Source organism: Homo sapiens, chromosome 17 (assembly GCF_000001405.40).
Source record: "Homo sapiens chromosome 17, GRCh38.p14 Primary Assembly".
Classification (NCBI taxonomy): Eukaryota; Metazoa; Chordata; class Mammalia; order Primates; family Hominidae; genus Homo; species Homo sapiens.
In genome coordinates, this window is record NC_000017.11 from 62,667,266 (window position 1) to 62,687,718 (window position 20,453).

Below are 20,453 nucleotides of genomic sequence, written 5' to 3' on the forward strand. Positions count from 1 at the left end.
GGCTTCCCGAACTGGCTCAGGCTTCCGAGGGAGCAGAGGGAGGTAGGAGGTTCTGAGCAGGGCCCCGGGAGCCACGGTGTGAGCTTCTCTCTCCGGGGGTGCTGGCGCCCTGCCCTCCCCACAGACCAGCCGGACAACCCCAGTGAGGAGAACTGTGGAGTGATCCGCACTGAGTCCTCGGGCGGCTGGCAGAACCGTGACTGCAGCATCGCGCTGCCCTATGTGTGCAAGAAGAAGCCCAACGCCACGGCCGAGCCCACCCCTCCAGGTGAGCCAGGGACTGTGCCGCAGGGTGGGGAGGGGCTCCCAGGGCCAGGGACACAGCCACAGAGCCGTGGCAGGCCCAGCCTCTCCTCCGGTTACCACCACAGCACAAGGGGACTCTGGATCCTCTGACTCTTATTTCATTGTTCAGTTAAAGTCTGAGCAAATTGGAATATGTCATTAATTCATTTGGGGAACATGTGCTGAGATCTGTGTTAAATGCTGGCAATACCCACTGTTACCTCGTAGAGACCACAGTCTGCTGGAGGTGACAGACATCTCAATGCAGTTAGACTATCCCAGGTCATGAGTGATTATAGAAATATGGATCAGTGTTAGAGGAGCATAGAGAAGAAACTGATTCAGCTTCTGAGAGTTAAGGAGGGGTTTATGGAAATAACATTTGATTTGGGCCTTTCAAATTGAGTCTAAGTTTAAAAGATATAAAGAGGTGTGGGGGAAGGGCATTCCTGGCAGAGGGAAGAGCATATGCAAAGGTGTGGAGGCCTAGAACTACACTGCAGCTTTAAGGGGTGGTGAGTGATGGCCGGGCACCGTGGCTCACACCTATAATCCCAGCACTTTGGGAGGCCAAGGCAGGAGGATTGCTTGAGCTCAGTAGTTCAAGACCAGCCTGGGCAACATAGCGAGACCCTGTCTCTGCAAAATATTTTTAAAAAATTAGCTGAGTGTGGTGATGCACGCCTGTCTACTAGGGAGGTCGAGGTGGGAGGATTGCTTGAGCCTGCAAGGTTGAGGCTGCAGTGAGCCTCGCTTGCACCACTGCACTCCAACCTGGGCAACAGAGCGAGACGAGACCCTGCCTCAAAAAATAAATAAATAAATAAATAAATAAATTTAAAAAAAAAAAGAAAAAAGAAAGAAAAAGAAAAAAATGGATGGTGCCTGTTGCAGTTTGGGTGGAGTATAGATTCTAACCACTTCAAGTATGGTCATCCAACCAGCAGCACAGCATCCCCGGAGGGCTTGTTAGAAATGCACAGTCAGGCCCGCCCCAGAGTAATTGAATCAGAACCTGCATTTAACAAGATCCTCAGATGATTCATGTGCAGACACAGTTTGGGAAGCCCTGGCTTAAAGGGCATGGTGAAGAAGAGGCAGGTTGCAGCCAGTCTCTGCAGGGTCTTGGCTGCTGGGCCAAGTTTGGGTGGGGCCAGGTAGGCTGTGGGGAGCCTTTGAAGATGTTTAAGCCAGGGAGTGTCTGGTTCTCGTTTGTGATCATAGAGACAGCTTTAGGGGCCTCGTGGAGGAGTTGGGGCAATGGACAGGGTCTGCTTTAGGGATTCTGCCCCTTACTGCTGTGTGGCCCTGGGCAAGCAGCTTAGTCTCTGGGGTGCAGAGTCCTCATTGCAAATGGAGAATGAAGCCACCCCCCTTGCAAGGTTGTTGTGAGGAAGGCTGGAGATCTGGCCTGGCACGAAGGAGTTTTTCTGTAGTTGGCTGTGGATGTTTACTGTGGTGTAGGTTGGAGGGGCTGTGCAGTTTCCTGCGAAGCTGTGGGGTGGTGAGGAGACTTTTACAAAGAAAATATGGCAACACACACACACACACACACACACACACACACACACACACAACACTAACTACAGACAGTAAAGAGTTTACAGAGCAAAACTTCTGCTCCTGACCATGGAAGTCTTGCCAATGATCGACTCAGGACTGGTTTTTTTGTTTGTTTGTTTGAGACAGGGTCTCACTCTGTCACCCAGGCTGGAGTGTAGTGGTGCGATCTTGGCTCACCACAACCTCTGCCTCCTAGGCTCAAGAGATTCTCGTGCCTCAGCCTCCTGAGTAGCTGGGATTACAGGCGGGCATCACTACTTCCCGGCTAACTTTTGTATTTTTAGTAGAGACGGGGTTTCACCATGTTGGCCAGGCTGGTCTTGAACTCCTGACCTCAGGTGATCTGCCCACCTCGGCCTCCCAAAGTGCTGGGATTACAGGCGTGAGCCACCGCACCCCGCCTTTTTATTTTTATTTTTATTTATTTATTTTTTGAAACAGAGTCTCGCTCTGTCGCCCAGGCTGGAGTGCAGTGGCACAATCTCCACTCACTGCAACCTCCGCCTCCCAGGTTCAAGCGATTCTCATCTCCAGGTTCAAGCGATTCTCATGCTCCAGCCTCCCGAGTAGCTGGGATTATAGGCATGAGTGTGCCACCACGCCCGGCTAATTTTTTTGTATTTTTAGAGATGGGGTTTCACCATGTTGCCCAGGCTGGTCTCGAACTCCTGTCTTCAAGTGATTCACCCGCCTCGGCCTCCCAAAGTGCTGGAATTACAGGCGTGAGCCACGGCTCTGGCCTGATTCAGGACTGCTGACCACTGCTTTATCTCCCATTCCGTAAGGGGCCAGGAGCAGAAGCTTGAAACGTCAGCAACCCGATCTAGGGCACCTCCACCTCTAGCTGGAGGGAGCCTTGGGCCCTAGTCCAGTCCTCCCACAAGCACCTTTCTGAAGGAAGGGGCCCGCTGGGAGGCCCGGGTGTGGGCATGCCTAGCCTATCTGTGGCCCCTTACCAAGTCCTCTGTCCTCTGGGTCTTCCCGGACCTGCAGACAGATGTAAGGCCTCGGATTTCCGCCCCTCTGCCCAGCCCATATCTCTCTGCACGAGGCATATTCTAGGCAGGTTCTGCTTTCCCGGTCTCATCACTTAAGTCCTGTCATTTCGAAGGCAGGCGCCCCGTCGTGTCCCCAAAGCATCCACATTTCCCAAGCTCCCTTCCGGTCCTTGAGGCCCCTCGGGTCTCAGCAGCCACTAAAATCCGCTTGTCTGGGGCGGCAGCCTCAGGTCTTAGCTCATTGGCTAACAAGAGATGATTGACAGGTCCTGAGCCAGAGAGCGAGCCCACCGGGCTCTCAGTCCGCCCAGCTTTGCCGGGTCTCCAGGAGCAGGTGTGGCTGGACCACTGGAATCCCAGTCTGAGGCCGTGTTCTAGTGGGCGCGCAGTTTCCTGCCCGACTAGGCAGAATCCTGCCCGAGCATGACACTGTGGGTGGTTTGGTGAAGTCCTGTTTTCTCTTGCCAAGACCAAGTAAGGGCTTGTTTGCCTCAGCTGCCCTCGGATCCCAACCCCTAGAAGGTGAACCTGAAAGGCATGGAAATCGGGGCAAGGGAGGGCCTGGGACGGGTGGATTTCTCAGCCCTGGGGTTCAGGGTTAGGAGTTAGGAGCGGGGAAGGAGTCCCAGCTGGGGGATGGGGCCGATCTGTAGTGACTTTGAGCACCTCCTAATGTTCTCGGTTGCCCGTCCACCAAGACCTCAGATTCCTGGTGGGCTTGCCTGGGCCCCATTAGTGGCTCAAGGTCCCGTTTCCCAGTTTTCTCCCTCCTGGGCTTCCCAGACCTGCACAGAGTGGGTGCTCAATAAATGTTATTTGAGAGAATAACAGTGATTCCATTTACTAGGCAGGGGGCCATAAGCCAAGCTTGAATCTCATAGCAGGAAACCCCATTTACAGAGGGAGAAACTGAGGTTCATGGGGCTGGTTTGTCCTTTCTACCCATCGTTTATTGACTGATTGATTGATGCATTGATTGAGATAAGGTCTTGCTGTGTCGCCCAGGCTGGAGTTTAGTGGTGCAATCATGGCTCACTGCAGCCTTGACCTCCCCGGGTCAAGTGATCCTCCCACCTCAGCCTCCTGAGTAGCGGGACCACAGGCGCACATCACCATGCCTGGCTAATTTTTTATTTTTTATAGAGATGGGGTCTCCCCTTTGTTGCCCAGTCTGTTCTTGAACTACTGGGCTCAAGCAATCCTCCAGCCTTAGCCTTCCAAAGTGCTGGGATTACAGGCCTGAGCCACCATGCCTGGCCCACCCATCGTATTCTGAGAGCCACAGCCAGAGGAAGTGTTCTGTCCTGGGTGGAATCTGCCACCACGACTTGGGTCTCTGTCCCGGGGCTCCAGCAGCCCTGTAAAGTTTTGTGTTTTTTTAGCATTTCCAAGACCTGTGGTGGGGACCGGGATTGATCTGGGAGAGTTTGGAGAGGAGGTGACTGGGAGGCCTCGCCTGTGTTGACGTCAACCCAGTGGGTTGGTTCCCAGACTGGGCGGCTCAGTCCCTGAGCAGCAGCCTCATGGGTCTCTGCAGACAGGTGGGCCAATGTGAAGGTGGAGTGCGAGCCGAGCTGGCAGCCCTTCCAGGGCCACTGCTACCGCCTGCAGGCCGAGAAGCGCAGCTGGCAGGAGTCCAAGAAGGCATGTCTACGGGGCGGTGGCGACCTGGTCAGCATCCACAGCATGGCGGAGCTGGAATTCATCACCAAGCAGATCAAGCAAGGTGAGGAGCTGCCCGCCCACGTGTCTGGGTGGAGGGCAGGGCCTCCCACTGCCCCACCCATCCTGTCCAGGAGCCTCAGAGAATGTTCCTTCCTCCCTACTGGTGGCTGAGGCTGACCTCTCAATGTTTTCTCTCCCCTCCTCTCCTGCTGCACCCCCAGAGGTGGAGGAGCTGTGGATCGGCCTCAACGATTTGAAACTGCAGATGAATTTTGAGTGGTCTGACGGGAGCCTTGTGAGCTTCACCCACTGGCACCCCTTTGAGCCCAACAACTTCCGGGACAGTCTGGAGGACTGTGTCACCATCTGGGGCCCGGTGAGATCTCCCTCTCCCTATCACAGGGCCACAAAATACACCCCCAACCTCCAGGTGCCACCCCAGCTGAAGGACATCCTAGTTACTATCAGAACCTGCCTGGAACCTCTTACCTCTCAGCAGTCCCCCTCCTCCCCACCAATGCCTTCCCTTCCATGTGAGAGACTGCCGGGGCTTGAATCCTACCTCCACCTCCACCTCCAAGTAGCCAAGTCACCTTGGGCAAGTTACTAGAGGGTCACTGGGGAGATCAGAGGAGTTAATTCTCGTGAAACCTTAGGCACAGTGCCTGGCGCATTCTTGGTCTCCTCCCAGCTGCCCTTCCCTGCCAGAAGGTGGCATCAGAACCCACATTATGTGCAGATACTTTGCAAGCAGGGCTGCACTCTGCCAGCCCTCGCCCCCAGTGCTCTACCCAGTCCAGGGTCCTGTCATCTCAAGAGATTGTTGGGTTTTATGACAATTTGCCATGGTTTGGGCTTAGATGTGGTGTAAGTGAAGGAATTGATGGAGGGCTTCAAGCAGAGATGAAAGACCCTTAAAAAAGGGACAAAGCCAGCTGAGTGTGGTGGCTCATGCCTATAATCCCAGCACATTGGGAGGCTGAGGCAGGCGGATCACTTGAGGTGAGGAGTTCGAGACCAGCCTGGCCAACATGGTGAAACCCCATCTCTACTAAAAATACAAAAATTAGCCAGGCGTGGTGGCAGATGCCTGTAATCCCAGCTACTCCAGAGGCTGAGGCAAGAGAATCGCTTGAACCTGGAAGGCAGAGGCTGCAGTGAGCTGAGATTGCACCACTGCACTCCAGCCTGGGTGACAGAGCAAGACCCTGTCTCAAAAAAAAAAAAATAAAATAAAAAGGAGAAAGCCGTAGGGACACAGACCACCCTTCCTAGGGACAGACAGGATGTTCTGCTGTCACATACTGCAAACAGTGCTGTGGACTGTAGTGGCAGTCATTTGCCTTAGGGGATGCTATTTAAGAATTTTAAAACAATTATGTATTGAGTATCTACCATGTGCCAGTCATTTTTCTGGGTGCTAGGATACACAAACACGCCTGCCCTCAGAATGGAGCTTAGAGACAGACATACTGCTGGCTGGGGGCCTGTGGATACTGGGGAGGGCGAAGACAGAAGCAGGGGCCGAGGACTAAATTCCTCCTCAGCTTCATCAGCTGAGATTCTGGTCTGGGCACACTGGCCTCTGCACACTCTGGCCCTGCAGGCACTAGCTAGACGCCTTGGGAATCCAAGCTGTCTATCCTGCCATCAGTTACTCTAACAATCTTAGCCAGTTTGTTTTTGATATTTATAAAACGAGTTATCAATAATGTAAAAGGACGCCTTTCCTTTTTTTTTTTTTTTTTTTGAGATGGAGTTTCACCCTGTCGCCCAGGCTGGAGTGCAATGGCACGATCTTGGCTCACTGGAACCTCTGCCTCCCAGGTTCAAGCGATTCTTCTGCCTGAGCCTCCCAAATAGCTGGGATTACAGGCATGCACCACCACAACCGGCTAACTTTTTGTATTTTCAGTAGAGATGGGGTTTCACCATGTTGGCCAGGCTGGTCTTGAACTCTTGACCTCAAGTGATCCGCCCACCTCGGCCTCCCAAAATGCTGGGATTACAGGCATGAGCCACCGCGCCGGGCCAGGATGCCTTTCCCATTTAGACAATGCTTGTTAAGTTTCAAGGCGTTTGCACATGAACTGCTTGTGCTCTCATCCACCCTGTGAGGCTTATGGGTTCATCCCGCCTTCCCCATTGCACAGCTGGGACACAGACATGTCAGAATCACACAGTAAGTCAGAGACAGGGCCAGCTCTAGGAACCAGATTCCAAGAAGGATTTGGGAGATTTATGGGGAGGTGGGGGTTGAGATTCTTCCTCACCCTGTGTCCGTAGGAAGGCCGCTGGAACGACAGTCCCTGTAACCAGTCCTTGCCATCCATCTGCAAGAAGGCAGGCCAGCTGAGCCAGGGGGCCGCCGAGGAGGACCATGGCTGCCGGAAGGTGAGGGTGTTTCTGGAGCTGCCCTGAGTGGGGCCACCTGTCAGAGGGGCTACCAGGGGAGGGAGAGGTGGATGAACTCCTGCTGCCTCGCATGGCATCGCCCTCTCGTCGGCACCCCCTTCCCTGAGCTCTCCAAACTGCTCCTTTATTGAAGGAGTGATACTGGATGGGATGGGACGGGTGGGCGCTGTTGGGAGGAAGCAGAGCTCCCCACCCCCAGCCCAGTCCTGAGTCCCTCCCCATGGGGGAAGCCACTTCCTCGAGACAGCAGAGAACAGGGAGGTGGGGGCTGGTCTACCCCCGAGTGCCCCCTCAGAGTCCAGCCTAGTCATGTCAAGCAGTGGCTGCCGAAGTGAAGTGTGGCCCCTGTGCACCGCCAGTCCTGACTTCCCCCTCCTCTGCCGTCTGACACAGGGCGTGTGCTGGTCTGTCTCCCCTGGAGGAGTGAGGCCACTCAGGGTGGGGCTGCACCTTCCCCCTCCTTGTGTTCCCAGCCCCAGTGGGCTTCTAGAGGATGTTTAGGGAGGTTGAGGGGGGGGGTGTCAAGGAATGAAAGCTGTGTAAGTGAGTGGGGGGTGAGTGACTGAGGGTGTGAGGGGGTGACAGACCCTCTCCTCCTCCAGGGAGTGGAGCAGGGGTGCAAATGCTGTGATGGGTGCGGGGAGCTTGCTTCTAAAAGACACTGCTTGGCCCTTGGCCCCCCCCAGCAGCCCCTTGCAGCCAGGCTGGCTCCTCACTCTGTTTTCCTTTGGATTAAGCCCCTACCACACCCACCTGGACCCCAAAGCCTCCCCCAGAAAATGAGCAGGAAACACTAACAGGCATGGCCCCATGGGCGAGGAAGCAGAGGGGAGAGCAGAGCCCAGCTGCGGAGTCTGTGGACTGGCAAGGACAGTGCCTGGCCCAGGGGCTGTGTCATGGCTGCGAAGAGGTGAAGGGAGGAGTAGAGAGGAATTACCAACTTCTCTGGCACCAAGGCCAGCCTGGAATTTGTGTGGGGAGTGTTGAGGGTCCATGGTTAACAGCCCAGGATCACCAGGGGTCTTGGCACAGCCCCTGCCAGCAGATGAGGCCCCCACCACACATACCACATCTGCTTCTCTTCTGCCTTGGCTCCTGCCAGCCTCGCCTGCCAGGGTCTCGTCTCTGAGCCCCTCCTGCCATCCCCGGGCCAGGAGCATCCTGCGCCGACTCCAGCTTTGCCAGGCCCTCGAGGACTGCCCATCCCCTCTCCATCCTGGCAGCTCTCCCCAGCCTTTAGCTGTGGTTTCCCAGCCAACAGTAATTTCCCCACTGTGTCTCTTGGTTTAAATGCCCAAGAGAGGAGCCTGAAGGGCCATTCATCTTCCCGAGCCGGGTCACTGGCCGGTCGCTGGTGGCCTGCCAATCAGCCACGCTGGGGCTGGGCCTCCACCCCAGCTTCCACAGCTGTGGGTGATGGTGGAGGGGGAATGTGGAGAAACGAGGTGCAGAACACAGCCCAGTACTCAAACCAGTCCCCTCCGTCCTGAGCACGTTCAGTGATGTCCCTGATGGCATCTCCCACCACAGGATTTATGGGTGAGGGTGGAGAGTCATCTTCCCTACAGACACCCCTCTTCTGTCCACTCTTGAGCCAGGGTTGGACGTGGCACAGCCCATCCTGCTACTGGCTGGGAGAAGACCAAGTGACCTACAGTGAGGCCCGGCGCCTGTGCACTGACCATGGCTCTCAGCTGGTCACCATCACCAACAGGTACAGCAGGGGCGGGTGCCCTGACTAGCCCTTGCCCATGTCTGGGCCTATTGTGGTCCCTTCAGCAAACAGGGTAGCATCTGCCATCATGCCCAGAGGGACCTGGAGTCCTGTGAACCTCAGTGGGCTCCAGGGCATTTTAAAATCTTGTCAGAAGAATGACTCTCACTTGTTAAGTGACCCCAGTGTAGGGCAGGGCCCGGGCAGGCACAGGTGTGGGCTGGATACTTGAGAAAGAGAGGCCTTGGTTGTGTCTGATTTTCTCTACTTTCTTCTCAGCAAAGCAAGGGGTGCAGAGAATAGAAGGGGCAGCTGGGGGTTCCATAAATCAGCTGCAGGGCTCCCAGGCGTCCCTGCTTTCTTGAGCAAGTTATTGGTCGGGTGCAGCACCCGAGCTCCCACGGTAGGGCGTCTGGCCTGTGACTGGGGGATTGGGAAGCAGGGAGATCCCTGCCCTGACCAGCCTGTCTCCTGAAGGTTCGAGCAGGCCTTCGTCAGCAGCCTCATCTACAACTGGGAGGGCGAGTACTTCTGGACGGCCCTGCAGGACCTCAACAGCACCGGCTCCTTCTTCTGGCTCAGTGGGGATGAAGTCATGTACACCCACTGGAACCGGGACCAGCCCGGTGAGCCCCTTATTTGACTTGCCTTGGTGAAGCGAGGAGGGAGGCCAGGGTGGACTGGCCCTGCCAGCACCGAGCCCCAGGGCTTCCCCATAAACAGATCATTGGTGCACTGTGGTGTAGTGTCTATGAGCACAAGCTCTGAAACCAAACTGCCTGGCTCCGATCATGACTCTGCCATCTTTTAGCTGTGCATCCTCTGAGCCTCAGTTTTCTCATCTGTCCAGTGGGAATAATGATCCTTTCCTCATAGGGATGACATGAGTCTTAAATATGTGTAAAGTGCTAATATGTGTAAAGAGTTAATGTGTGTAAAGTGTCTAGATTACTTCTCTATCTGGGCTCACAAAAAAGAAACAAATAATCTCTTCTCTATCTGGACTCATTTAAAAAATGTGTTCAGAATACTGAGCGCAATACAAGTGCTTGTTATTACTATTATTACCATTTCACATTCATTATCTTTCTAACCCCTTCAATAACCTGATGAGGTAGATGATGAAGCAGGCTCGGTGAGGTTAAGCAGCTTGCCTGAGCCCTCACAGTGGGTGAACCCAGAGCCAGGGCTCTGCCTCCATTCCCTTCCTCCCTCCTGGCTCCAACCCCAGAGAGCATGTCTCTGAAGAGGTGGCCAAGCTGGTTCCCAGTGTGAGGGCCGTGCTAGTGCCCTGCCGGGATGTGAGGGAGGACCAGACTATGAATCCTTCTCAGAGCCTGGGTCTCCCTTCCCTCTCCTTCAGGGTACAGCCGTGGGGGCTGCGTGGCGCTGGCCACTGGCAGCGCCATGGGGCTGTGGGAGGTGAAGAACTGTACCTCGTTCCGGGCCCGCTACATCTGCCGGCAGAGCCTGGGCACTCCAGTGACGCCGGAGCTGCCGGGGCCAGATCCCACGCCCAGCCTCACTGGCTCCTGTCCCCAGGGCTGGGCCTCGGACACCAAACTCCGGTATTGCTATAAGGTAGGGCAGCCTGTTGGCCGGGTAGGGGGCAGGGGGAGGACAGGAGCAAAGAGACAGTTTGGATGGAGGTCCCAGTGGGACCAGCCACAATCCAGAGACACACCAGGCTGCAGACGGGTGATTTCTGGTGAGACTTGTCCATGGAATCTGGAGGCCTGGTGCTCAGTAATCATTTGAGGAATTGAGGGAACCACAGATCATTGATTTCAGAGGTTCCCAAATGTTGGGGCCAGCCTAGCTGTTCTTCAGAATTGCTTGGGGAACCTGATAAAAATAAAATCTTGGCCGGGCGCAGTGGCTCACACCTGTAATCCCAGCACTTTGGGAGGTCAAGGCGGGTGGATCACGAGGTCAGGAGATCGAGACCATCCTGGCTAACATGGTGAAACCCCATCTCTACTAAAATACAAAAAATTAGCCAGGTGTGGTGGCAGGCGCCTGTTGTCCCAGCTACTCGGGAGGCTGAGGCAGGAGAATGGCATGAACCCAGGAGGCGGAGCTTGCAGTGAGCCGAGATCGTGCCACTGCACGCCAGCCTGGGTGACAGAGCGAGACTCCGTCTCAAAAATAAATAAATAAATAAATAAAGATAAAAATCTAGGCTGTCACAATGGAGATTTAGATTCATTAGGTCTGGATTGGGCCTGGTAATCTGTATTTTTAATCACGCTAGGTTTGGGAGCCACTGGCAGAGTCCGAGGTCTTTTATTATGCACAGAAACTGAAGTCTAGGGAGAAGAAGGGACTTACCCACGTTAAGCTGTGGCTCTGCTGGGATTAGAGCCCAGATCTCCCTGCTGGTCAGGGGATGGGGCTCAGGGGCCCTCTCCAGAAGGTGACTGTGCCAGCTCCCCTCCCCAGACCTCTGCAGATGAACAGGATTGTCCTTAGCTAGCCTTAGCCCCCTGTCCAGTAAGGCTCCAGGCCCCTCCTCTGCCATGGTGGGAAAGGCAGTAGGTGCCCCCTGAGGGGTGGGCCAGTGGGGACAGCTTAGACAGCTGGACTCTGCCCCTGCAGGTGTTCAGCTCAGAGCGGCTGCAGGACAAGAAGAGCTGGGTCCAGGCCCAGGGGGCCTGCCAGGAGCTGGGGGCCCAGCTGCTGAGCCTGGCCAGCTACGAGGAGGAGCACTTTGTGGCCAACATGCTCAACAAGATCTTCGGGTACTGAGCCGGGCTGAGGCGTGTTAGGAGGGCACCCGCACACGTGTAGGAGCAGGCATGGCCGACAGACCCTTGGTTTTGTTGGGCGAGCAGGGGGATGGCAGAATGTGGGTGACCCCAGGGAGGCCTGCATCTGCTGCTGGTGCCAGGACCATCTTGTCCTCACTCAAGTAGCCATGGTGCCCTGGCATCTTGGGAGAACAGGCTGGTGTGATCCATGCACTCATAGGAGACTGTGTTTTGCTCACCATCATCCCCCCAGCAATGCTCCAACAGACCCACAAACTTACATATGTACCCCCCACCCCATTGCAAAATCTCCCACATGCTGGTCCTGGCAAGTGTTTCCCCTCACCTTACACCATCCTACAATGACCCACACTCCTCAATCCACAGTTTTTCCTGAGAGATAGGAGGAGAAAGGCCGCAGCTATGAGGATTTGCCCATGGGCCTCCCTCTGAGACACCACCTCTGTCCTGGGCTCTGAGCATTAGCACGTGGAATCCCCTAGCACTGGGAAAATCGAGATGGATCTGGGCTTCCTGATAGCTTAATTGAAGGGATCTCTCCTCTCAGCAAACATTGAAATTACATTATTTGTCTCATAATTACAATAGCTCATGGTCATCACTTCTCACCACGTACCAGGCACTGTGCTAAACATATAGTCCTCACTCAAGCCTCCCGACAACCCTATGGAGCAGACGTTAACCCCTGACCCTTGTGGGTTGATAGAGAGGTTATTTGCCCAAGTTCATGGGTGAACGGATACTTGAATCCAGGTTTATTTAACTCCAGAGCCGTAGATCCCTGCCACCTCCTCATCTGAACTTCCTAAACTCCGTAAAGTAAAAGCCTGCAGAATCTTGCTGGACAGGGCACCCCCACCCAAAAGGAACCCAAACAAAGGGGAGGGGCCACTGCCCCTTGAGTGGATGGCTTGGTCCAGCTCTCCCCAGCTCTGTCTTGTGGGGAGAACTTTACCGAAGTGACCTCAACGCTGTATCGATGGGTCAATGTGAAGCCCAGATGGAGAGGCCCCAGGCCCTGGGGGCTGCCCCGGTCACAGCTGCAAGGGACAGGGGGCACGTTTGGGTTCCTGCCCCTCTCACTTCCCATCTCTTCCGTCCCCACTCCTGGGTTGTGCTGAAGTGAATCAGAACCCGAGATCCACGAGCAGCACTGGTTCTGGATCGGCCTGAACCGTCGGGATCCCAGAGGGGGTCAGAGTTGGCGCTGGAGCGACGGCGTAGGGGTGAGGGGGCCTGGGGTACTTGGGACTGCGAGGCCGGGAGCTTGGTGGGCGGGGCCTGTTTGGGGCGGGGCCTGGAGGTGGGCGGGTTTTCTTGAGGGCCGGGCCCCCAGTCGGAGCCGGCTTCAGGAAAGCAGGTCCGAGAGGGGTCACCCGGCCCCCGGTGAGAATTCGCAGCTCAGGCCAGGCCTCTTGTTCACCTGTTCCGGGCATGGGGGCGGCCTGCACCTTGCGCCTCACGTTCCTCTTCCCTCCACCCGCCTCCTCCAGTTCTCTTACCACAATTTCGACCGGAGCCGGCACGACGACGACGACATCCGAGGCTGTGCGGTGCTGGACCTGGCCTCCCTGCAGTGGGTGGCCATGCAGTGCGACACACAGCTGGACTGGATCTGCAAGATCCCCAGAGGTTGGCCGGAGTGGCGCTGGGGGACGCGGGATGGAGCGAAGGGTGGCGGGGCCAGGAATTCCAGGGAGGGTCTCCTTTCCTCACAACGTCTTTGTCCTTGTTCCCCTAGGTACGGACGTGCGGGAGCCCGACGACAGCCCTCAAGGTGAGCACCCCCCAGCCCATCCCGCTACCCATCGCGTGGGAGAGGGCGTCAACTCTGGGGTAAGTCCCGAGAGGCCTGAATGAAATGGAGGGGATGAGGAGTTCCGGTCGAGAGAAGGGGGACGGGGTTGGCTCGGACGGAGGCAGCCACAGCCCTGTTTGCTTCCGTGTGGGAGGCGAGGCAAGCCTGGGGCCTGGGGCCTGGCACGGTGCCTGCCTGGGTCCGGTGTGCCTGCAGGCTCGCCTGCTGCCGCCTGGCTCTGCCCCGGCCCTGCCGCGCCCGCCTCCGGGGCCTGGCGTGCAGCCTCTGCCTGGCCGCCGCTCCCACGCCCGCGCTGCTCCTGCAGGCCGACGGGAATGGCTGCGCTTCCAGGAGGCCGAGTACAAGTTCTTTGAGCACCACTCCACGTGGGCGCAGGCGCAGCGCATCTGCACGTGGTTCCAGGCCGAGCTGACCTCGGTGCACAGCCAGGCGGAGCTAGACTTCCTGAGCCACAACTTGCAGAAGGTGGGCATTGGATTGAGCAGGGGGCTGCAGGCTGGGGGAGGGCAGGCCCGGGATGAGGGCAGGGGGCTGCCTACCCACACCTGCCCGCCTGGCTTCTCCAGTTCTCCCGGGCCCAGGAGCAGCACTGGTGGATCGGCCTGCACACCTCTGAGAGCGATGGGCGCTTCAGGTAGGAACCCAGGCAGGCAGCAGATGTGGAAGGGGGCTGGCTGTCCACACACGGAGCACAGAGGCAGACTTGCATTTGAATCCAGCCCTGCCCCTTCCTTGCTGGCTGTGTGGCCTTGAGCAAGATACTTAACCTTTCTGGGCCTTGGTTTTCTCATCTGAAAATGGGAATATGAGGCCTGCCTGGTAAGATTTTTGTGAAGATTAGAAATAACATATGCGAAGTGCTTACGCAGCATCCAGCACATTAGTTACTAAATAATGGCAGCTCCTGTTACGTCTGGTGTCATTCATCATGACTAAGGCCCTCTCGGGGAAGTGGGCAGAACATATGATGATCCGGGGGCCTCTTTGTATTTGGTGCCTACTTACCATGTACTGGGGGGCTTGAGGCAGGAAGGACCAGGAGCACCTGGGACTCAGAATTTGAGCTTGTCTTTTTGCCCTTGGGCTTCCTGCCCTGGAGTCCTCAGGCTTCTTTTCTGGAGCAGCAAGTGTCCAGGGACAGCTGGGGCCTTATCTAGAGGCACCAGGTCCTTGGGTCTTTGACTGCCCTGAGCTCAGTAGCTCCACCCCTCAGCCTACAGCCACTAAACCCCAGAACCTGGGCCCTTCCCTGCCCCCATTCCTGCGGCCTTCATTGCTGCATCCGGTGGAGGCCCAGCTGGGGGCCGGTGCTGGAGTTACCTCTGCTCCATGCCATTGCAGATGGACAGATGGTTCCATTATAAACTTCATCTCCTGGGCACCAGGCAAACCTCGGCCTGTCGGCAAGGACAAGAAGTGCGTGTACATGACAGCCAGCCGAGGTGAGGGCAAGGTGGGGGCAGAGTGCGCAGTCAGCTGTGCAAAGGGTTAATGCTGGGCGAGCCTGGGCAGAAGTCATCAGTCTGTTCTCATTCTCTTTGTTCCCACAACCCAATAAAGGCTAGACTCAGCGAGGGGTGGACCTGTCTCCATGGTCCAGAAGACTTGAATTCGGAGCTGGACACAGGCCCTGAGCCTCTGCCCAGACTCCTCTCAGGGCATGAGGCTGAGTGTGCTGCCAGCCATGCCCTGCCCTGCTCTGCCCTGGGGGTGACTGCCCTCCCCTCCCCTTTCCGCAGAGGACTGGGGGGACCAGAGGTGCCTGACAGCCTTGCCCTACATCTGCAAGCGCAGCAACGTCACCAAAGAAACGCAGCCCCCAGACCTGCCAACTACAGCCCTGGGGGGCTGCCCCTCTGACTGGATCCAGTTCCTCAACAAGGTAGGAGGTGGCAATGGGGCACCCAAGGGAGTCAGGGGAGAGGACGTGAACAGGGAAAGGCTGAGCCTCAGGAGTCCTGGCCTTTTGGCAGCACCAAACTCATGGCCTCTTGCCTGTACCCACCAACTTCTCTTTCACCTGGCTCCAGTACCAGGGCCAGACTCCTTGGAAAATGACTCACTGTAGTAGCACCTTCCAATCCTCCGGGAAGCAAGGTTGTCCAAATAATTTGGTGAGTGTTCTAGATCAGTGATTGCCAAAGATTTTTTTTTTTTTTTTTTGAGAAGGAGTTTCACTCTTGTCACCCAGGCTGGAGTGCAGTGGCGCGATCTCGGCTCACTGCAACCTCTGCTTCCTGGGTTCAACCAATTCTCTTGCCTCAGCCTCCCGAGTAGCTGGGATTACAGGCACCTGCCACCACCCCTGGCTAATTTTTGTATTTTTAGTAGAGATGGGGTTTCACCATGTTGGCCAGGCTAGTCTCGAACCCCTGAACTCAGGTGATCACCTGCCTTGGCCTCCCAAAGTGCTGGGATTACAGATGTGAGCCACCGCGCCCGGCCTGATTGCCGGCCTGATTATCAAAGATTTTGATAATGAACTCCTATTAGTAAAACAAAATATTGAGCTTACATGACCAAACTATGTGTGTGTACATTTAACTTATATATGTATATGTGTGTGTAAATAAAACCTACTTCCATACTAATATGACTAATATTATATATAGTAAAATATGTATAAGAACAAAAGAGTATAAAACATTAGCTAAAGATTTTTAAATACTTTTAAGTTTAAAACATTTTTTTGGCTGCGCGTGGTGGGTCATGCCTGTAATCCCAGCCCTTTGGGAGGCTGAGGCGGGTGAATCACCTGAGATTAGGAGTTCGAGACCAGCCTGACCAACATGGAGAAACCCCATCTCTACTAAAAATACAAAATTAGCTGAGTGTGGTGGCACATGCCTGTAATCCCAGCTACTCGGGAGGATGAGGCAGGAGAATTGCTTGAATCCTGGAGGCGGAAGTTGCGGTGAGTCAAGATCGTGCCATTGCACTCCAGCCTGGGCAACAAAAGCGAAACTCCGTCTCAAAAAAATAAACAAAGAAAAAAAAAACAACAAAAAAAACACCTTTTTTTTTTTTTTTTTTTTTTACTAGTGGTATGAAAACATTTTTTTGTGCTCACTCAAAAGTGATTAATTGGCTGGGAGAGGTGGCTCACACCTGTAATCCCAGCACTTTGGGAGGCTGAGGCAGGAGGATGACTTGAGCCCAGGAGTTCGAGACCAGTCTGGACAACATGGAGAGACCATGTCTCTACAAAAAATAGGAAAATTAACCAGGTGTGATGGTGCACACTTGTAGTTCCAGCTACCCAGGAGGTGGGAAGTGGGAGGATCTCCTGAACCCAGGAGGTAGAGGCTTCAATGAGCCATGGTCATGCCACTGTATACCACCCTGGGTAATGGAGTGAGACCCTTTCTCCAAAAAAAAAAAAGATCAATTATAATAATTATTGTTTAATATGCTCACTTTGGCAGCACATGTACAAAAAGTGAAACAATACAGAGAAGATTAGCATGGCCCTGCACAAGGATGCTATGCAAATTCCTGAAGGGTCCATATTTTGCGTAGTTCATGAAAGTTGAAGGTTGTTCAACAAAAAAATTGTCTAAATAATTTTAATAAGAGCAATGTGATTACATGTACTTCACGTTTTTAAAAAATTTTAGTCTGACACTTTATGACTCATGACTCACAGGTCTAACGTGTTGAAAATCAAAGTTATTTCAAAACATGCATTTCATGGTGGCTATAGATTAAATATGCCTCACAAAGACAAATAGATTGAAGTGAAAAAAGTTCATCCATCATTTCTAAATAATTCTCCCCATTTTTAGTCCTTCTACCAATTAAACAAACATTTTTGTTTAAAAATTGGCTAGTAGGCTGGGACGCTGAGCACTGGGAGGATCACTTGAAGCCAGGAGTTCGAGACCAGCCTGGGCAATGTAGCAAGACCCTATCTAGAAAATTCTTTTTCCAAGTGTTTTGAGTGTGCAGGTAGGAAAGTTTGGGGCACTGACATTAATCACTATGGATGCATTTCTCAACACGTTTTTACAACACCCCCTCCATAGTGTGAGTTTCTTCCCCACAGTCGTTATTTTTCCATGCACAGGCTGATTTATTAGACCTGATTAGTCCTTCATTGTTTTTACCTGGCGATTGACAACGAGTTCATACCAGGAAGAGAAGGTTGTCATTTTCCTTGTTATGTGCCAGGGTAATTGGCATTAATCTCAAGCCATGGCTTCTTTGCAGGACATTTTAAGAACACTTAGCCCTGTTGTGAAGATTAGATTAGTTAACACTGAATAATATAATCCACAAATCCTTGTCATACACAGGAAGGCAGCCAGCCTCTTAGTGTCATGGATCTCCTGCCCTCCTCAGAATATTCAAAAGAACATTACACGGCCAGGCGCTGTGGCTCATGCCTGTAATCCCAGCACTTTGGGAGGCCGAGGCGGGTGGATCACCTGAGATCAGGAGTTTGAGACCAACCAGGGCAACATCGCAAAACCCTGTCTCTACTAAAAATACAAAAAATTATCTGGGCATGGTGGTGGACGCCTGTAATCTCACCTACTCGGGAGGCTGAGGCAGCAGAATCGCTTGAACCTGGGAGGCAGAGGTTGCAGTGAGCTGAGATCGAGCCACTGCACTCCAGCCTGGGCGAGAGATTGAGACTCTCTCTCAAAACAAAACAAAACAAAAACCACACAAAAAAAAAATTACACCTCTTCTACCTTAAAAAATTAAGGCATGTATATTATTAAAACTTTGGAAAATACAGAAGAGAAACCAAAACTCACCCAACACTCTCTAGAGATCACAGCTATCAATATTTGTTATTCTCCTTCCTGCCTTTTTCCATGGAATTGAGCTCATACTAAATAATATAATTTCCTACCCAACTCTTCTTTCTCTGTATCATATTTTGAGCATCTCTCATGTTATAAAGTTTTTCCAAAAACTTGTTCTTTTTCCATCCACTTTTTAAACAGAATGTATTTTATATATGTAATAGGTCCCATTCTTAATCATCATTGTCAAGATACCAGTTACTCTCCTGCCCTGTGGAAAGTTCTGTTTGTTTTTGTTTTTGAGACAGGGTCTTGCTCTGTCTCAAAAACTGCTGGAGTATGGTGGTACCATCATGGCTTACTTACTGCAGCCTCGACCTCCTAGGCTTAAGTGATCCTCCTGCCTCAGCCTCCTGAGTAGCTGGCACTACAGGCTTATGCCACCATGCCCAGCTAATTTTTCTATTTTTTTTGTAGAAATGGGGTTTTGCCATGTTGTCCAGGCTGGTTTTGAACTTCTGGGCTCAAGCGATCCTCCTGCCTTGGCCTTCCAAAGGGCAGGGATTACAGGTGTGCGCCACTGTGCCTGGCCTGTGGAAAGCTCTGGAAGTATGCTAGGGTGTTCACTCCTTCACTGCCTGCCCTCACACATCTTGCTTTACTAGTTCTGTGCCCTTCTTTGTGTCCCTATAGCATTTGGATGTAGGTAAAGCATTTATGGCAGCTGTCCCCAACCTTTTTGGCACCAGGGACTGGTTTCTTGGAAGACAATTTTTCCATGTACTAGGGGAGGGGAGGGATGGTTTTGGGATGAAACTGTTCCACCTCAGATCATCAGGCATTAGATTCTCATAAGGAGCACGCAACCTAGATCCCTTGCATGTGCAATTCACGGTAGGGTTCGCACTCCTATGAGAATCTTGGCTGGGCGCGGTGGCTCAGCCTATAATCCCAGCACTTTGGGAGGCCTAGGTGGGCAGATTACCTGAGGTCAGGAGTTTGAAACCAGCCTGGCCAACATGGTGAAACCCTGTCTCTACTAAAAATACAAAAATTAGCCAGGTGTGGTGGTGGGCGCCTGTAATCCCAGCTACTCGGGAGGCTGAGGCAGGAGAATAGCTTGAACCTGGGAGGCGGAGGTTGCAGTGAGCTGAGATTGCGCCATTGCACTCCAGCCTGGGCAACAAAGCAAGACTCCATCTCAACAACAACAACAACAACAACAACAACAACAACAAAGAATCTAATGCCCTGCTGATCCAACAGGAGGTGGAGCTCAGGCTGTAATGCCCCTTCGCCCCGCTGCTCACCTCCTAAGAGGCCGGGGACCCCTGGTTTGTGGGACAGCCTCTTCCACTAGCTTTAAGCTCCTGGAGGGCAGGGCCACTAGCACCTGCCATACCCCTTAATACACTTGCACATGGCAGGGATGCCCTCAGTGTCGGCTGGACTGAGCTGAATACCCTCCCCCTTTAGCTGTCACTTCTTGCTGGTACTGGTGTGACCTTGCTGCTTCCAAGTTTATGATGAATTCTACTCATGATTTAAGTTGGGCCTCAGCATGGCTCTGAAACTACTTCTGTGAAACCAAATCCTTGAACTTTGTGACAGACCTCCAAAAATCTGCATTATTTCTGGGCTTACAATTTTTTACCCCAAATCTGCCATCTGCATCAGTAAGGATGGTGCTGGAGCTAATTATTAATAGTCACAGCTCTCACTGGTTAAGTGCCTACTGTGTCATGTACTGTTATCTTTAATCCTTAAAATGATCCCCAAAGACAGGCTTTGTATTACCACTTTACAGAAGAGTAAATTGAGGCCATAAGGTTGTCAGAGCTGGAATCTGACATCTCCCCCTTACCTGAATCCCACCCCTGTCTTTATGACTCCAAAGCTTCCCTACACCCTTTCTTTTTTTTTCTTTTGAGACAGAGTTTCGCTCTTGTTGCCCAGGCTGGAGTGTAATGGCGTGATCTCAGCTCACTGCAACCTCCGCCTCCTGGGTTCAAGCGATTCTCCTGCCTCAGCCTCCCAAGTAGCTGGGATTACAGGCATGTGCCACCACGCCTGGCTAATTTTATATTTTTAGTAGAGATGGGGTTTCTCCATGTTGGTCAGGCTGGTCTCGAACTCCAGACCTCAGGTGATCCACCCGCCTTGGCCTCCCAAAGTGCTGGGATTACAGGTGTGAGCCACCGTGCCTGGCCAACACCCTTTATTTTCCATCACACTGCCTCTGAGCAGAAAATCATTAGATATTCATTTTCCTAAGAAAGAGTCTTCACTTGATGAGAGATTTCCTACCCAGGGCTTTTGTTTGTTTGTTTGTTTGGAAACCTTATAGAGCTAATGAAAGTGGGAAAAGAGAAATGTAAAATTACAGAGTTAGAAGCTGCTGCTAATAGATCATTCAACAATAGAGATAAAAGTGTCCTAGGGCTGGGCGCGGTGAAACCCCGTCTCTAC

At 53.3% G+C, this 20,453-nt stretch overlaps 1 protein-coding gene and 1 pseudogene across 3 annotated transcripts in view, besides 8 other annotated features; both read left to right on the forward strand.

Moving 5' to 3' along the window:
- Positions 1-20,453, forward strand: part of MRC2 (mannose receptor C-type 2) — a 65,928-nt gene that overhangs the window by 39,596 nt on the left and 5,879 nt on the right. For all 3 annotated transcript variants that reach the window (NM_006039.5, XM_047437208.1, XM_011525543.2), the window contains exons 6-20: positions 125-268; positions 4,384-4,572; positions 4,733-4,887; positions 6,798-6,905; positions 8,525-8,640; positions 9,118-9,266; positions 10,004-10,221; positions 11,239-11,381; positions 12,535-12,637; positions 12,905-13,043; positions 13,153-13,188; positions 13,535-13,695; positions 13,797-13,864; positions 14,572-14,672; positions 14,970-15,112. In NM_006039.5, the coding sequence (NP_006030.2) occupies positions 125-268; positions 4,384-4,572; positions 4,733-4,887; positions 6,798-6,905; positions 8,525-8,640; positions 9,118-9,266; positions 10,004-10,221; positions 11,239-11,381; positions 12,535-12,637; positions 12,905-13,043; positions 13,153-13,188; positions 13,535-13,695; positions 13,797-13,864; positions 14,572-14,672; positions 14,970-15,112 (1,973 nt within the window). The remainder of the gene's footprint in view (positions 1-124; positions 269-4,383; positions 4,573-4,732; positions 4,888-6,797; positions 6,906-8,524; positions 8,641-9,117; positions 9,267-10,003; positions 10,222-11,238; positions 11,382-12,534; positions 12,638-12,904; positions 13,044-13,152; positions 13,189-13,534; positions 13,696-13,796; positions 13,865-14,571; positions 14,673-14,969; positions 15,113-20,453) is intronic.
- Positions 2,194-2,953: an enhancer, noted in NCBI's record as "H3K4me1 hESC enhancer chr17:60746820-60747579 (GRCh37/hg19 assembly coordinates)". NCBI's record gives its function as "activates a minimal SCP1, AML or CMV promoter by ChIP-STARR-seq in primed H9 embryonic stem cells {active_cell/tissue: H9 hESC(primed)}" and the evidence as "EXISTENCE:reporter gene assay evidence [ECO:0000049][PMID:30033119]".
- Positions 2,954-3,712: an enhancer, noted in NCBI's record as "H3K4me1 hESC enhancer chr17:60747580-60748338 (GRCh37/hg19 assembly coordinates)". NCBI's record gives its function as "activates a minimal SCP1, AML or CMV promoter by ChIP-STARR-seq in primed H9 embryonic stem cells {active_cell/tissue: H9 hESC(primed)}" and the evidence as "EXISTENCE:reporter gene assay evidence [ECO:0000049][PMID:30033119]".
- Positions 4,032-4,532: an enhancer, noted in NCBI's record as "H3K4me1 hESC enhancer chr17:60748658-60749158 (GRCh37/hg19 assembly coordinates)". NCBI's record gives its function as "activates a minimal SCP1, AML or CMV promoter by ChIP-STARR-seq in naive H9 embryonic stem cells {active_cell/tissue: H9 hESC(naive)}" and the evidence as "EXISTENCE:reporter gene assay evidence [ECO:0000049][PMID:30033119]".
- Positions 4,533-5,033: an enhancer, noted in NCBI's record as "H3K4me1 hESC enhancer chr17:60749159-60749659 (GRCh37/hg19 assembly coordinates)". NCBI's record gives its function as "activates a minimal SCP1, AML or CMV promoter by ChIP-STARR-seq in naive H9 embryonic stem cells {active_cell/tissue: H9 hESC(naive)}" and the evidence as "EXISTENCE:reporter gene assay evidence [ECO:0000049][PMID:30033119]".
- Positions 5,043-5,337: a silencer, noted in NCBI's record as "tiled region #5505; K562 Repressive DNase matched - State 12:CtcfO". NCBI's record gives its function as "represses a minimal TATA promoter and a strong SV40 promoter by Sharpr-MPRA in K562 cells {active_cell/tissue: K562}" and the evidence as "EXISTENCE:reporter gene assay evidence [ECO:0000049][PMID:27701403]".
- Positions 5,043-5,350: a biological region, named in NCBI's record as "Sharpr-MPRA regulatory region 5505".
- Positions 5,281-5,350: an enhancer, noted in NCBI's record as "active region_12541". NCBI's record gives its function as "activates an Ori minimal core promoter by ATAC-STARR-seq in GM12878 lymphoblastoid cells {active_cell/tissue: GM12878}" and the evidence as "EXISTENCE:reporter gene assay evidence [ECO:0000049][PMID:35858748]".
- Positions 12,517-13,245: an enhancer, noted in NCBI's record as "H3K4me1 hESC enhancer chr17:60757143-60757871 (GRCh37/hg19 assembly coordinates)". NCBI's record gives its function as "activates a minimal SCP1, AML or CMV promoter by ChIP-STARR-seq in primed H9 embryonic stem cells {active_cell/tissue: H9 hESC(primed)}" and the evidence as "EXISTENCE:reporter gene assay evidence [ECO:0000049][PMID:30033119]".
- RNU6-446P (RNA, U6 small nuclear 446, pseudogene) lies at positions 16,640-16,745 on the forward strand (annotated as a pseudogene).